This window comes from Homo sapiens, chromosome 19, assembly GCF_000001405.40.
Source record: "Homo sapiens chromosome 19, GRCh38.p14 Primary Assembly".
Classification (NCBI taxonomy): Eukaryota; Metazoa; Chordata; class Mammalia; order Primates; family Hominidae; genus Homo; species Homo sapiens.
Genome location: NC_000019.10, coordinates 19,355,708 through 19,370,638, shown reverse-complemented (window position 1 = coordinate 19,370,638; position 14,931 = coordinate 19,355,708). Strand labels below are relative to the sequence as shown.

At 52.1% G+C, this 14,931-nt stretch overlaps 1 protein-coding gene and 1 long non-coding RNA gene across 8 annotated transcripts in view, besides 4 other annotated features; one reads left to right on the top strand and one right to left on the bottom strand.

The window, feature by feature from the left end:
• The window catches only part of LOC124904656 (uncharacterized), a 27,427-nt gene extending 15,499 nt beyond the window's left edge, over positions 1-11,928 (top strand). The window contains exons 1-2 of one of the 3 annotated variants that reach the window (XR_007067161.1): positions 3,745-3,862; positions 11,678-11,928. This is a non-coding gene — a long non-coding RNA (uncharacterized LOC124904656). Of the gene's footprint in view, positions 1-3,744; positions 3,863-7,865; positions 7,959-11,677 lie in introns of those variants that run through there. The other 2 variants (XR_007067162.1, XR_007067163.1) reach the window with 2 other exon arrangements.
• Positions 3,457-3,506: an enhancer, noted in NCBI's record as "active region_14349". NCBI's record gives its function as "activates an Ori minimal core promoter by ATAC-STARR-seq in GM12878 lymphoblastoid cells {active_cell/tissue: GM12878}" and the evidence as "EXISTENCE:reporter gene assay evidence [ECO:0000049][PMID:35858748]".
• Positions 3,657-3,706: an enhancer, noted in NCBI's record as "active region_14348". NCBI's record gives its function as "activates an Ori minimal core promoter by ATAC-STARR-seq in GM12878 lymphoblastoid cells {active_cell/tissue: GM12878}" and the evidence as "EXISTENCE:reporter gene assay evidence [ECO:0000049][PMID:35858748]".
• Positions 5,454-5,563: an enhancer, noted in NCBI's record as "active region_14347". NCBI's record gives its function as "activates an Ori minimal core promoter by ATAC-STARR-seq in GM12878 lymphoblastoid cells {active_cell/tissue: GM12878}" and the evidence as "EXISTENCE:reporter gene assay evidence [ECO:0000049][PMID:35858748]".
• Positions 5,584-5,683: an enhancer, noted in NCBI's record as "active region_14346". NCBI's record gives its function as "activates an Ori minimal core promoter by ATAC-STARR-seq in GM12878 lymphoblastoid cells {active_cell/tissue: GM12878}" and the evidence as "EXISTENCE:reporter gene assay evidence [ECO:0000049][PMID:35858748]".
• The window catches only part of MAU2 (MAU2 sister chromatid cohesion factor), a 37,926-nt gene continuing 34,879 nt past the window's right edge, over positions 11,885-14,931 (bottom strand). For all 5 annotated transcript variants that reach the window (NM_015329.4, XM_005259837.4, XM_005259838.5 and 2 more), the window contains one exon: positions 11,885-14,931. In NM_015329.4, the coding sequence (NP_056144.3) occupies positions 14,857-14,931 (75 nt within the window). In that variant the 3' untranslated portion in view covers positions 11,885-14,856.

Below are 14,931 nucleotides of genomic sequence, written 5' to 3'. Positions count from 1 at the left end.
CAGTTCCTGGCTACATCATGCCACTGCACTTCATCCTGAGAAATAGAGTAAGACCCTGTCTCCACACACAAAAATTATTTTATTTTTATTTATTTATTTATCTATTTATTTATTTATTTTGAGACAGAGTCTCGCCCTGTTGCCCAGGCTGGAGTGCAGTGGCACAATCTTGGCTCACTGCAATCTCCACCTTCCAGGTTCAAGAGATTCTCGTGCCTCAGCCTCCTGAGCACCTGGTACTACAGGCACCCGCCACCACACCTGGCTAATTTTTGCATTTTTAGTAGAGATGGGATTTCGCCATGTTGGCCAGGCTGGTCTCAAACTCCTAACCTCAAGTGATCCACCCGCCTCGGCCTCCTACAGTGCTGGGATTATAGACGTGAGCCACCGTACCCAGCCCCAACATTTTTTTTCAATTTGACTTTAGATTGGAGTGGCCAGAGAGGAGGGGGACCAGGCCTAATTGCACCTGGTGAATTTTTAAATTTTATGTAGAGATAGGGTCCCATCATGTTGCCAGGCTGGTCTGAAACTTCTGGGCTCAAGTGATCCTCCTGCCTCGGCCTCCCAAAGTGATGGGATTACAGGTATGAGCCATTGACGCTGGCCAAAAAAAAAAAATTTTTTTTTTTGAGACAGAGTTTTGCTCTTGTTGCCCAGGCTGGAGTGCAATGGTGCGATCTCGGCTCACCGCAACCTCCACCTCCCGGGTTCAAGCAATTCTCCTGCGTCAACCTCCTGAGTAGCTGGAATTATAGGCACCCACCACTACGCCTGGCTAATTTTTTGTGTTTTTAGTAGAGACAGGGTTTTCACCATGTTGGCCAGGCTGGTCTCGAACTCCTGACCTCATGTGATCCGCCTGTCTCAGCCTCCCAAAGTGCTGGGATTACAGGCGTAAGCCACTGCGCCTGCCACCCCCCCCTTTTTTTTTTTTTAAGACAGAATTTCTTTCTGTCTCCCAGGCTGGAGTGCAGTGGCATGATCCTAGCTCACTGCAATCTCTGCCTCCCAGGTTCAAACTATTTTCATGCCTCAGTCTCCCAAGTAGCTGGGATTACAGGTGCCCACCACCACATCCAGCTGATTTTTGTATTTTTAGTAGAGACGGGAGTTTCACCATGTTGGCCAGGCTGGTCTGGAACTCCTGACCTCAAGTGATCCACCTGCCTTGGCCTCCCAAAGTGCTGGGATTACAGGCGTGAGCTACCGCACATGACCAAAGAGAAAAAAATTTTTTTTTTGAGACAGATTCTCACTCTTCGCCCAGGCTGTAGTGCAGTGGTGCAATCTTGGCTTGCTGCAACTTCCACCTCCCAGGTTTAAGTGATTCTCCAGCCTTAGTCTCCCAAGTAGCTGGAACTACAGGCACAAACCACCAATGCCCGGCTAATTTTTGTATTTTTTGTAGAGATGGGGTTTCACCATGTTGTCCAGGCTGGTCTGGAACTCCTGACCTCAGGTGATCCACCCGCCTTGGCCTCGAAAATTGCTGGGATTATAGGTGTGAGCCACCGTGCCCAATTTTTGTATTTTTAGTAGAGACGGGGTTTCACCATGTTGGCTATGCTGGTCTCAAACTCTTGGCCTCCCAAAGTGCTGGGATTACAGACTCCCGAAGTGCTGGGATTTTTTTTTTTTTTTTCTGAGACAGAGTCTCGCTCTGTCGCCCAGGCTGGAGTGCAGTGGCGTGACCTTGCCTCACTGCAAGCTCCGCCTCCCGGGTTCACACCATTCTCCTGCCTCAGCCTCCTGAGTAGCTGGGACCACAGGTGCCCACCACCACGCCCGGCTAATTTTTTGTATTTTTAGTAGAGATGGGGTGTCACCGTGTTAGCCAGGATGGTCTCGACCTTCTGAGCTCGTGATCCACCCGCCTCGGCCTCCTAAAGTGCTGGGATTATAGGCGTGAGCCACCGTGCCCGGCCTGTGCTGGGATTTTTTGCCGCACTTGGCAAAAAAATTTTTTTAATAAAAAGGATCCTCTTGTCATATAGGTTTTGGGTATAGGGAGAACTAGTTGCCAAGAAAAAAAAATCCCGTGAGTGGAGGAGCTGAGTAGGACTCAGGGGTCACTTCCTTCGGTGGGTACCAGAGGATGCTCCGGAGAAGAACAGCCTGGAGTGATTAGGTCACTTTTCCTGGGGAGCAGGTTGCTCAGGAAGCAGCATGGTGGCCGGTGTGTGAAGTATTAGGGGCATTTGGATCCAGGACCCGGCTCTGAGACACTTACTCGGGTTCCTTTAGGGTCAGGCCTGAGTCAAGCCAGGGCCTGGGCCGGTGTCTGGAGTGCCCCAGCCCCCTGGGCACGCGCTGTTGGGTTACACATTATACAAGAGAGTCAGGGACTGACCCTGGCCAGCAGACACTGTCATCAGCTGACCTGTCTGCCGTGTATTCTGCCCTGGATGTACCACCATCATCCACAAGTGCAGTTCTGGGCATGTGAGTCTCAGTCCAGTGGGGGCAGAAGGATGATGGCTCTGGTCTGGGGCCTCAGAGATTTGATTTCACACCTGAACACAGGGGCCCAGGCACTTTCTGAGCCTTCAGTGTCCTCCTGGATGTGCTTCCAGATGTCAGCTGAGTACAAGGTGGTGGTGGACTGGCCCTCCATAAATGCGACAGGCAGCCTGGTAGCCGCGATACCCTCCCAGTGTCCCCTGAGGGGTGGCCAGACAGGAGGGGACCAGGACCAGAGCCTGCAGTCCCCACCCGAGTCACTCAACTGTGCCAGTAGGGGACACAATTCCCCAGATGCCTGGGTCTTGGTGGCCCCATCGCCGAAGCTGGAATGTTGTCCAGCTCTGATCAGCTGGCCCAAGGGGGGCCTGCTTGCCTCCTTTTTTTTTTTTTTGAGACGGAGTTTTGCTCTTGTTGCCCAGGCTGTGTGCAATGGCGTGACCTTGGCTCACTGCAACTTCCACCTCCCAGGTTCAAGCAATTCTCCTGCCTCAGCCTCCTGAGTAGCTGGGATTACAGGCGCCCACGACCATGCCTGGCTAATTTTTTGTATTTTAAGTAGAGACAGGGTTTCACCATGTTGGGCAGGCTGGTCTCAAACTCCTGACATCAGGTGATCTGCCCACCTCGGCCTCCCAAAGTGCTGGAATTATAGGCATGAACCATCGCTCCCAGCCCTCCTTTTGGTCTTGTCACAGCGTCCCCCACCTCCTCCCCTGTGGTTGTCCCCCACCTACTGTGCGACACTCCCTTCTCACAGATGGTCAACACTCCCTCCCTTCTGAAACCCGTCATCAGGGGAACTATGTCCACCCTCTGAGGGCATCAGACATTGTCTGATGTGGTCTCTGCTGTGTTCCCAGCATCCAGCGCACAGTAGGTGCTTAATACATGTTTGGCAAGTAAAGGAGGGAATGGTGTCACCCTGACGCCCGGAGAACCCTGGCCATTGTCTTCTCCAACAGTTACAGGAGTGGTGTGAAGGTCACCCCACATCCCTGCAGATGAGCAAAGCCTGGCCAGACTGGGGTCTGGCAACATCCAGCCCAGTCTTTCTAGCTGGATTGTAGGTTCCCACCTGTCCTACCTGGTGGGGACATTGCCTGGGCAGCCCTTGCTGCTCCTGGGCCACCATGCCCCCTGGTGGCCAAGGCCAGAGCAGGCCAGGGGCCGCCAGTAGCAACTGAGGACACTTGCAGATGAAGACAGAGTGGGAGATACACTTCCGGTTCACGACAGGACTTCTGAACAGTTTGTGCTTAACCCTTTAGGGGAGGATTTGTGCTCAGAACCCTGGAATAGCAGGACAGCGCCAAGGCCACACAGAGACTCACTCTGGACAGAGTGTGCCTAACTGCAGATGGAGCCTGAACCCTGCGCTGCAGAAACACTGAGTGTAAGGAACTGTGGTTAGAGACGACGTTCACAACAAACACACACTGACAAAGTGGACTATCCCTGGCCGGGCATAGTGACTCACACCTGTAATCCCAGCACTTTGGGAAGCCGAGGCGGGTGGATCACCTGAGGTCAGGAGTTCCAGACCAGCCTGGCCAACATGGTGAAACCACATCTCCACTAAAAGTACAAAATAATTAGCTGGGCGTGGTGGTGTGCGCCTGTAATCCCAGCTACTCAGGAAGCTGAGGCAGGAGAATCGCTTGAACCTGGGAAGCAGAGGTTGCTGTAAGCTGAGATTGCACCATTGCATTCCAGCCTGGGCAACCAGCGAAACTCCATCTCAAAAAAAAAAAATAAAAATAAAAAAAATCAAAAAAATCAGAGTACTAAGAAAATAAAATTCATGTGGAAATTAACCTTTTCCTTTCCTTTCCCAGCCAATTTCATTGTAATCTCACCATGTGAGCATAAATTTGGGACGAAATAAGAAACTTCATCTTATTTATTTATTTATTTATTTATTTTGAGGTGGAGTTTCCCTCTTGTCACCCAGGTTGGAGTGCAATGGTGAGATCTCGGCTCACTGCAACCTCCGCTTCCCAGGTTCAAGCAATTCTCCTGCCTCAGCCTCCCGAGTAGCTGGGAATACAAGCACCTGCCACTACACCCAGCTAATTTTTGTATTTTTAGTAGAGATGAGGTTTCACCATGTTCACCAGGCTGATCTGGAACTCCTGACCTCAGGTGATTCGCCCACCTAGGCATCCCAAAGTGCTGGGATTACAGGCTCCTGTCACCACACCTGGCTAATTTTTGTATTTTTAGTAGAGATGGAGTTTTACCATGTTGGCTAGGCTGGTCTTGAACTCCTGACCTCAAGTAGTCTTCCCGCCTTGGCTTCCCAAAGTGCTGGGATTCAGGCATGAGCCACCGTGTCCCTCCTCTTTCAATATTCTTATGTTGAAATGTGATTGTATTTTTTTTTTTTTTTGAGACGGAGTCTCGCTGTTGTCACCCAGGCTGGAGTGCAACAGCACGATCTCAGCTCAGGTGTGAGCCACCGCGCCTGGCCTGTTTTTTCTTTTTTTTTTTTTTAACTGAGTCTCACTCTGTCACCCAGGCTGGAGTGCAGTGGCATGATCTCGGCTCACTGCAAGCTCTGCCGCCACGAGGGCCGGCTAATTTTTTGTATTTTTAGTAGAGACGGAGTTTCACCGTGTTAGCCAGGATGGTCTCCATCTCCTGACGTCATGATCTGCCCACCTTGGCCTCCCAAAGTGCTGGGATTACAGGCGTGAGCCATTGCGCTCGGTCCTCTGTTTTTTATTTATTTTTCAGACAGGGTCTTGATCTGTCGCTCAGGCTGGAATGCCGTGGTGGGATCATGGCTCACTCCAGCCTTGAACTCCTGGGCTCAAGTGATCCTCTGCCTCAGCTTCCCCAGTAGATGGGACTATGGGTGCGCACCACCATGCCCGGCTAATTTTTTTGTATTTTTTGTACAGACAGGGTGTCACCATGTTGCCCAGGCTGCTCTTGAACTCCTGAGCTCAAGTGATTCTCCTGTCTTGGCCTCCCAAAGTTTTGGGATTACAGTCGTGAGCCACTGCACCCAGCCTGTGATTGTATTTTGGAGGTGGGGCCTCTGGGAGATGATTATGTCATGAGGGTGGAGCTAGAGAGCGGGAAGCAAACCAGGAAGCAGGCCCTCGCCAGACTCCGAATCTGCTGGCACCTTGATTTTGAATTTCCCAGCCTCTAGATCAGTAAGAAATAAGTATTTGTTGTTTGTAAGCCCCTCAGTCTATGGTAATTTGTCAAAGCAGCCGGAATAGGAGGAGACAGGATGTGAGGTGGCCACTGCGAGGATTTCTGCCTGCGTATATTTCCTCAGGTGCTGGGTTCTAGAAGCTGTGTTCAAAAGAAAGTTGTCCATTTTCTTTTTTATTTTTATTATTATTTTTAGAGACCGGTTCTCACTCTGTTGCTCAGACTGGATTGCAGAGCTGCAATCGTGGCTCACTGCAGCCTCGACCTCCCAGGCTGAAGCAATCCTTCCACCTCAGACTCCTGAGTAGCTGGGACTATAGGCACACACCACTATGCCTAGCAATTTTTTTTTTTGTTTTTTGAGACGGAGTCTCGCTCTGTCACCCAGGCTGGAGTGCAGCGGCGCGATCTCAGCTCTGCCACCCAGATTCAAGTGATTATCCTGCCCAAGCCTCCTGAGTAGCTGGGATTACAGGCACCCACCACCAAGCCCTGCTAATTTTTGTATTTTTAGTAGAGACGGGGTTTCACCATGTTGGCCAGGCTGGTCTCGAACTCCTGACCTCAGGTGATCCACCTGCCTCGGCCTCCCAAAGTGCTGGGATTATAGGCATGAGCCACCATGCCCGGCCGCCTGGCAATTTTAAATTTAAAAAAAAAAGTGTTTTTTTTGTTTTTTCGAGAGGGAGTCTAGCTCTGTCAACCAGGCTGGACTGCAGTGGCGTGATCTTGGCTTACTGCAACCTCCACCTCCTGGATTCAAGTGATTCTCCTGCCTCAGCCTCCCACGTATCTGGGATTACAGGTGTGCACCACCGTGGCTGGCTAATTTTTGCATTATTTTATTTTTATTTTTATTTATTTTATTATTACTTTTTTTTAGATGGAATCTCACTCTGTGGTCCAGGCTGGAGGGCAGTGGCCTGATCTCAGCTCACCACAACCTCCAACCTCCCGGATTCAAGCGATTCTCATGCCTCAGTCTCCTGAGTAGCTAGGATTTACAGGTGCCCACCACCATGCCCGGCTAATTTTTTTGTATTTTTAGTAGAGATGGGATTTCACCATGTTGGCCAGGCTGGTCTCAAACTCCTGAGCTTAGGTGATCCATCTGCCTTGGCCCCCCAAAGTGCTGGGATTACAGGTGTGAGCCACCTCGCCCTGCCAGGTTTATTTATTTTTGAGAGGGAGTCTTGCCCTGTTGCCCAGGCTGGACTGCAGTGGCGTGATCTTGGCTCACTGCAACTTCTGCCTCCTGGGTTCAAGCGATTCTCCTGCCCCAGCCTCCCGAGTAGCTGAGATTACAGGCACCCGCTACCACGGCTGGCTAATTTTTATATTTTAGTAGAGACAGGGTTTCACTATGTTGGTCAGGCTGGTCTCAAACTCCTGACCTCGGCCGGGCGCAGTGGCTCATGCCTGTAATCCCAGCACTTTGGGAGGCCGAGGCGGGCGGATCACGAGGTCAGGAGATGGAGACCACGGTGAAACCCCATCTCTACTAAAAATACAAACAATTAGCTGGGCGCGGTGGCGGGCGCCTGTAGTCCCAGCTACTAAGGAGGCTGAGGCAGGAGAATGGCGTGAACCCAGGAGGCAGAGCTTGCAGTGAGCTGAGATCGCGCCACTGCACTCCAGCCTGGGCGACAGAGCGAGACTCCATCTCAAAAACAAAACAAAACAAAACAAAAACAAAACAAAACAAAACAAAAAAAACTGCTGACCTCAAATGATCTCCCTGCCTTGGCCTCCCAAAGTGCTGGGATTACAGGCGTGAGGCACCATGCCTGGCTGATTTTAATTTTTTTTTTTTTTTGAGATGGAGTCTCACTCCATCACCCAGGCTGGAGTACAATGGTGCCATCTTGGCTCACTGCCACCTCTGCCTCCTGGGGTCACTGTCTTCTGCCTCAGCCTCCAAGTAGCTGGGATTAGAGGCGTGCAGCACCACACCCAGCTGATTTTTGTATTTTTAGTAGAGACTGTGTTTCGCTATGTTGGCCACATTGGTCTTGAACTCGCGACCTCAGGTGATCCACCTGCCTCGGCCTCCCAACATGGTGGGATTACAGACATGAGCCACCACGTCCAGCTGATTTTAAATTTTTTATAGAGACAAAGTCTTGCTACGTTGCCCAGGTTGGTCTCAAACTCCTGGCCTCAAGTGATACGCCTGCCTCGGCCTCCCAAAGTACTGGGATTACAGGCAGATGTTTTATTTTTTATAGAGACGGGGTCTTGCTACGTTGCCCAGGCTAGTCTCAAACTTTTGGACCTGAACCATCATCCCATCTCAGCCTCCTAAGGAGCTGGGACTACAGGTATGCTCCACCACATCTGGCTTCTATCATTTGTTTTTTGTTTCACTATGTTTTGTTTAGAGAGCGGGTCTCACTCTGTCACCCAGGCTGGAGTGCAGTGGGGCGATCATAGCTTGCTGCAGCCTCAACCTCCTGGGCTCAAGCGATCCTCCTGCCTCAACCTCCCTCCCGCCTCATCCTCTAAGTGGATGAGGGATGACATGGATGAGGACATGGCTTGTGGGAAAAGGAAGGTCACTCACTTCCTGAGTCAGGGTCCCATGGATGCTGCACAGGGCATAGCCTACTCGGAAATGACTCAACAGGAGGAGCTGTGTGACCCTAGTCTGCCGGGCGCCCAGGCCAAGGTGACTGCCTGGGTGTAGGCTTTGTGTGAAACATTGGTCAACCCAGGATAGACCTGCTGTCCACATGCAGGTTCACACCTCCCAGCTGGGGGCTGCACACCTGCTGGAAAGGTGGCTGGTCCCATGGCAGGCTCGTCATGCTGTGCTCTGGTCCAGCTCAGGTTCAAGATGTGAATCCCATGCAGGGGCTGGAGAGGTATGAGATGGGCCAGATGGGCCCCTGCCTGTCTGTCTGGAGAAGATGATGTCCAAGCTGATGATGAAGGATAAGCAGAGTCTACCTTGAGTGAAAAGGCTGCCTGGTGCTGAACTGGTGGGGATGGGGCAGAAGGAGCCCAGGCATCGATGGTTGGGGTGCTGTGATCACCATGTTGAGACTCAAACACTCGCACAGGGCCGGTGTGGTGTCTCACGACTGTAATCCCAGCACTTTGGGAGTCCAAGGTGGGAGGATTGCTTGAGCTCAGGAGTTGGAGACCAGCCTGGCCAACATGGTGAAACCCTGTGTCTACTAAAAAATACAAAAAAATTAGCTGGGAATGGAGGCAGGTGCCTGTAATCCCAGCTACTCGGGAGGCTGAGGCAGGAGAATCTCTTGAATCTGGGAGGCAGAGGTTGCAGTGAGCCGAGATCACACCACTGCACTCCAGCCCGGGCAACAGTGCAAGACTCCATCTCAAAAAAAAAAAAAAAATTAACCGGGTGTGGTGGCACGTATCTATAGTCCCAGCTACACAGGAGGATGAGGCAGGAGGGTCGCTTGGGCCAGGGCGTTTGAGGCTGCAGTGAGGCTCAAGTGATTGCACCACTGCACTCCTGCCCGGGCAACAGAGTGAGACTCTGTCTCTAAACGACACATAGCAAAACAAAATACAAAAACGTTGCACATCCAGCAGAGCCCCTTGGGGCTCGAGGCTAAGATGGCTTGTGTATCTCTCATGGGGAACTAACCTGAGAGTGACATGAGGGCCTTCACACCATATGTGTGTGCTGAGCGGCCCTGTCTGTCCACAATAAAGACACAGGGAAAGCCCAGGAGAATTGAAAACACGTGGTCCAGCCAAAACTCACAGAGCAGCACTATTCACAGTCGCCACAAGGGGGAAGCAACCCGAATGTCCATAAAAGGATGGATAAGGCCGGGCACCGTGGTTCACGGTGGTAATCCCAGCACTTTGGGAGGCCAAGGCGGGCAGATCACTTGAGTCCAGGAGTTCAAGACCAGCCTGGGCAACAAGGTGAAACCCCATGTCTAGAAAATATAGAAAAATTAGCCTGGCATGGTGGTGCCTGTCATTCCAGCTATTTGGGGGGCTGAGGTGGGAGGATCCCTTGAGCCTGGGAGGTGGAGGTTGCAGTGAGCTGAGATCATACCACTGCACTGGGCTATAGAGCAAGATCCTGTCTCAAGAAAAAAAAAAAAAAGCCGGGTGCAGTGGCTTATGCTTGTAATCCCAGCGCTTTGAGAGGCCGAGGCAGGTGGATCACAAGGTCAGGGGTCTGAGACCAGCCTGGCTAATATGGTGAAACCTCATCTCTACTAAAAATCCAAAAATTATCTGGGCTTGGTGGTATGCGCCTGTAGTCCCAGCTACTCAGGAGACTGAGGCAGGAGAATTGCTTGACCCTAGGAAGCAAAGGTTGCAGTGAGCCGAGATCAACCCACTGCACTCCAGCCTGGGTGACAGAGCAAGACCCTGTCTCAAAAAAAAAAAAAAAAGATCAACAGTTTGGTCCATCCATATAATGGGATATTATTCACTCATAAAAGGAACAAAGCAATGATCCATGCTACAGTGCAGATGAACCTTGAAAACATAGTGCTGAGAGATCCCAGGCTACAAGAGGTCACAGGGTATGAGATTCCATTGATATAAAATATCCAGAACAGGCAAATTCACAGACAGGAAGCAGATTACTAGTTGCCAGGGGCTTGGGGAGGGAGGAGGAATGAGGAGTGACTGCTGATGGCAATGAATCTCCTTTTGGGGGAATGAAAATGTCCCAGAACTAGATAGAGATGATAACTGTGCAACACTGTGAACGTACTGAATACCACTGAGCAGTCCACTTTACAGATAATACTATTTTATATACATATAAAATAGAGCAAGACTCTGTCTCTGCTAATATCCTCCTGGGTTCAAGTAATCCTCCCGCCTCAGCCTCCTAAGTAACTGGGACTACAGGAACACACCACCATGCCTGGCTATTTTTTTTTTTCGAGGTAGAGTCTCCCTCTCTCGCCCAGGCAGTGGTGTGATCTTGGTTCATTGCAAACTCTGCCTCCGGGTTCAAGCGATTCTCCTGCTTCAGCCTCCCGAGTAGCTGGGATTACAGTTGTGCGCCACCATACCGGCTAATTTTTATATTTTGTATTTGTATTTATTTATTTTTTGAGAGAGAGAGTCTTACTCTGTCACCCAGGCTGGAGCACAGTATCAGGATCTTGGGTCACTGAAACCCTCCACTCCCTGGTGCAAGTGAATCTCCTGCCTCAGCCTCCTGAGTAGCTGGGACTACAAGTGCACGCCACCACACCCGGCTAATTTTTGTATTTTTAGTAGAGACAGGGTTTCACTATGGTGGCCAGGCTGGTCTCAACTCTTGGCCTTAAGTGATCCGCCCACCTCGGCTTCCCAAAGTGCTGGGATTACTGGCTTGAGCCACGGCACCTGGTTGCCTGGCTAATTTTTATACATTTTTTGTAGAGACTAGGTCTCACTATGTAGCCCAGGCTGTTCTTGAACTCCTGGGCTCAAGGGATCCTCCTGCCTCGGCCTCCCAAAGTACTGGGATTACAGGCGTAAGCCAGCACAACCTGCAAAAAAAGTTAAATTTGTTATGGTAATTTCACCTCCAAACAAAAAAATCTGGGCAAATAACTCCCCTCACTCCCAGGTGTATGGAGGCTGGTCCCCTCTAAGAATGCAGGGACCGGCTGGGCGCGGTGGCTCAGGCCTGTAATCCCAGCACTTTGGGATGCCAAGGCAGGTGGATCACGAGGTCAGGAGTTCAAGACCAGCCTGGCCAACACAGTGAAATGCTGTTCCTACTAAAAATACAAAAAATTAGCTGGGCTTGGTGGCGGGCACCTGTAATCCCAGCTACTTGGGAGGCTGAGGCAGGAGTATCGCTTGAACCTGGGAGGTGGAGGTTGCAGTGAGCAGAGATCGCGCCTCTGCACTCCAGCCTGGGCGACAGTGCAAGACTCCATCTCAAACAACAACAACAACAAAAAAAAACACAGGGACCAGGACACCTGGGTGCATGAGGGAGTCTGCCCCTGAGAGGGCTGGGAAGGGAGGATTCCAGGAGCAGGCTGCTGAAGGCCTCATATGCTGATGGAGCATGGGGTTCCTTCCTCTCTAGGCGAGGCCAGACCAGAGGAAAATGATCAGTGGAGGAGATGGGGACTCAGGCTTCCATTCACGTCATCTGGCTCAGGATTTGGGGACTGCATCCTCATGCTGAAGACCCCGCCACAGAGGGGGCCCCTGTGGGCATGGCAGCAAGGGTGGCAGCCGTCTTTGGGATGGCTCACAAAGCGGACAGAGGAAACAACAAAGACACAGCACGTGGCTCCTGTAAGTCATTTTACTTTGAATATATAGGAAACAAAATCCACAAACAGGAAGCTATGTTCTATGGTTATGTCTTTTAAACAATGTTCTGTATTTACAAATTGTTTTTTTCCCTAAGTAAAAGCACCAGCTGAAAAGTTATAGGCTGCTAAAACCGTTACAAATATTACAAACCCATTAAAAGACATTATGCCAAACGTACTTATTAAAAACCTTAACAAAACGAAGAGACAACTGACAACGCAACCAACCAATTGAGCCACCATGCTGGGCTGGGTGGCAGTTCCAATTTCCTTGCCTGTGTTTCTGATAAACGGGGCTGGGAGTGCTTATCCCAGGGAGAGGATCCTCGCCCACCGGCAGGTGACTACAGGGACAGAGCTGGGGAGAGGCAGCTGTGTCTCAAGGAAACATGGCAGCCTCACTTCCTGCTGTAGGTGGCCTCCTGGTCAGACCCCCTCAACCCACAGGACAAGGGCAGAGGCATACAGGAGGGTCTGGCCAGCTTTCGGCTGTTCATCTGTCAACAGAATGCCTTTCTGCGACCTTGTCCTCATCCACTGAAGGGTTTGGAGTTTTTGTTTTTTCCTAGACACTTAGCTACAGGACACTGTGTGATGTGTCCTCAGGGACTTGCTGTCTGCCTTCCATTGTTTTTTTTTTTTTTTTTGAGACAAAGTCTCACCGTCACCCAGGCTGGAGTGCAGTGTCGCGATCATGCTCACTGCAGCCTCAATCTCCTGGGCTCAAGTGATCCTCCTGCCTCAGCCTCCCAGTTAGCTGGGACTACAGGCATGCGCCACCGTGTCTGGCCTCTATTCTTGCAATTGAATGAGATGCTATGAGGCGCTGAGCGACCCACAGGAAAGTACTTATCAAAAGCTTTGTGTCATGAGAAGATGCGGCTGTGGAAGGAGGTTCAAAGCTTGCACACACGCACACACACACATGCACATGATTTGGCTTCCATAAAGCTCGAGTAGAATATTAAATATTGAGTACTGAGTTTTTAATTGTAAACTTAAGATCTCATCCTTAACTTTACATATACATAGATAACAGGGTGGTCATGAAAAGCACTTTAACATCAGGACAGATGTTAAGTTCTGAGGTTCTGTTTTCAACTGCTCTACATACAAAATGCCCTACAAGCAAAGAAAGGCTTAAATAAATAGATGGGGATGAACATGATGCACGCCGTGGTGACATGAGTGGTGTGCAGGGGTCGGACAGTGCGGAACCCGGGTGGGCAGGAGCACATTGTGGAGACACAAGTGGTGGCATCTCTGGGATGTAGGGGAGGATGTGGGGGGCTCCTTCAAGGTGGAGCTAGCAGAGGCCATGGCTCGGGAGGAAGACAGGACAGGGACAGTTTGTGGGCCAGTGCCACACGCTCTCCTATTGGCTTCATGGGCCTGGGGGCAGCCCTGGGTAGCAAAGGACAGGGCCAGGCTCTCCCCCTGGAGACCCAGAGATGGCGGTGGTCCTCTTAGGACAAACCCTCACCAGCCCCGCCCTCTGACCAGCCTGTCACTGGTGCTGATGTCAGGTGGTGGCCAGTGAGGAAGGGGGTTATTGACAGCCCTGCCTGTGGCTAAGGCACACCCAGCCTGGGAGCCCCAAGCAGCTGACCTGAGCAATCCAGCGTCCCTTTAGTCACAGACGCCAAAGCTCCCAGAGGCAGTTCCACTGAGTGAGGGTGACAAGACCTAAAACCACCACCTACCCTGCTGAGCAGGACCCCCACCCCCTGTAGCAGGGAGAGGCTCCTGGGCCCCAGAAGCTGGAGGGGGTGGTGTCTTGAGCCCTGACACCTGCTGCTGCTATCTTGACCCGACCACCCGCCCCAACTCGGAATGCCACACTGTGACCACTGGGGCACCTCCTGATTATCCAAGAAAAGTGGATAAAACCAAACGCTGCTGTCTGGGCCCAGCGGAGGCTCCCTGGGGCCTGGCTAGGGTGCGGGTTTCACACTGTGCCCCAGAGACCCAGCAGGGAAGGTGAGGCGGTGGAGGGAGTGGGGGGACCAAGAGGCTGAGCAGGGAAGGCCACAGATCTGCCAGGAAGAAAGTCCCTGGGCTCCAGATCTCGGGGGCGGGGGGCCCGTGCCACGCACTCTAAGCTAGCTGAGGAGGTGATCTTAAATTTAGGAGACGAGCCCACTCCCCCGCTTCCTGCCCCTCAGCAGCCACAAGATGGGGGAAGGTGGCTGGTGCAACAGGAGCCTCAGCTCCCAGCTCCATCTCCACAGATCTTCACCGCACACCCGTGTGCATCCACATGCACACCCGTGTTTACAATCACCTGCACCCCCACGGCGGGATGGCGAGTCCGGTCAAGGTGCAGATGTTTGGAAGCTGAGTTCCTGGGTCCCTGAGGGTTCCTGACCAGAGGCCCCAGCTGCTGCAGGGACTGATGCTGGAGAGAAAGCTGGGAAAAGTGCTGGGATCTGTGCTTCGTCCCACACTAGCGCCATTACTTCTTCCCTCCAAATTCAGGCCAGAAACTGGCATCCGGGCTCTGGAAATTGCCTTGAGCAGAGGAAACACTCTACTCCCGCTCGGCATCAAGGCCTGGGTGATGGAGAGTCAGGCGTGGTGCCCCTGGGGCACTGCCTGCCCTGGCACACAGGATTAGGACCTGCTGGAGGCCTGCACCCTACTCCTGGCCGACGTGACCCAGATGCTGAGGCAGGACTGGCACTGAGGTCCACTCTGAAGGATGGCTCTGGAGAGACAGCGCCTGTGTGCCACCTGTGAGCCTCTGCACTGGGGGTCCTGCTGCGAGGTGGGAACGGCTACCACCCCTCCTGGGAGGGCAGGGACTGGCCCCGCACATTCCCAGGACTTGGAAGCTCTAGAGACAATCAGGAAGGAAGCACGCCTCGGGGGCAGGCTTGAGTGCCGTCTGGGTGGAAGCCGGAGACGCGCAGGCCCTGCGGAGCTGGATGGCCCCATCAAGGCCTCACAGGAGGCTGGCCAGGCTGGTGTTGGGTCCATTCTGAGCTTGGAACTGCACGGGGGGTGGACCGTCTGTCCA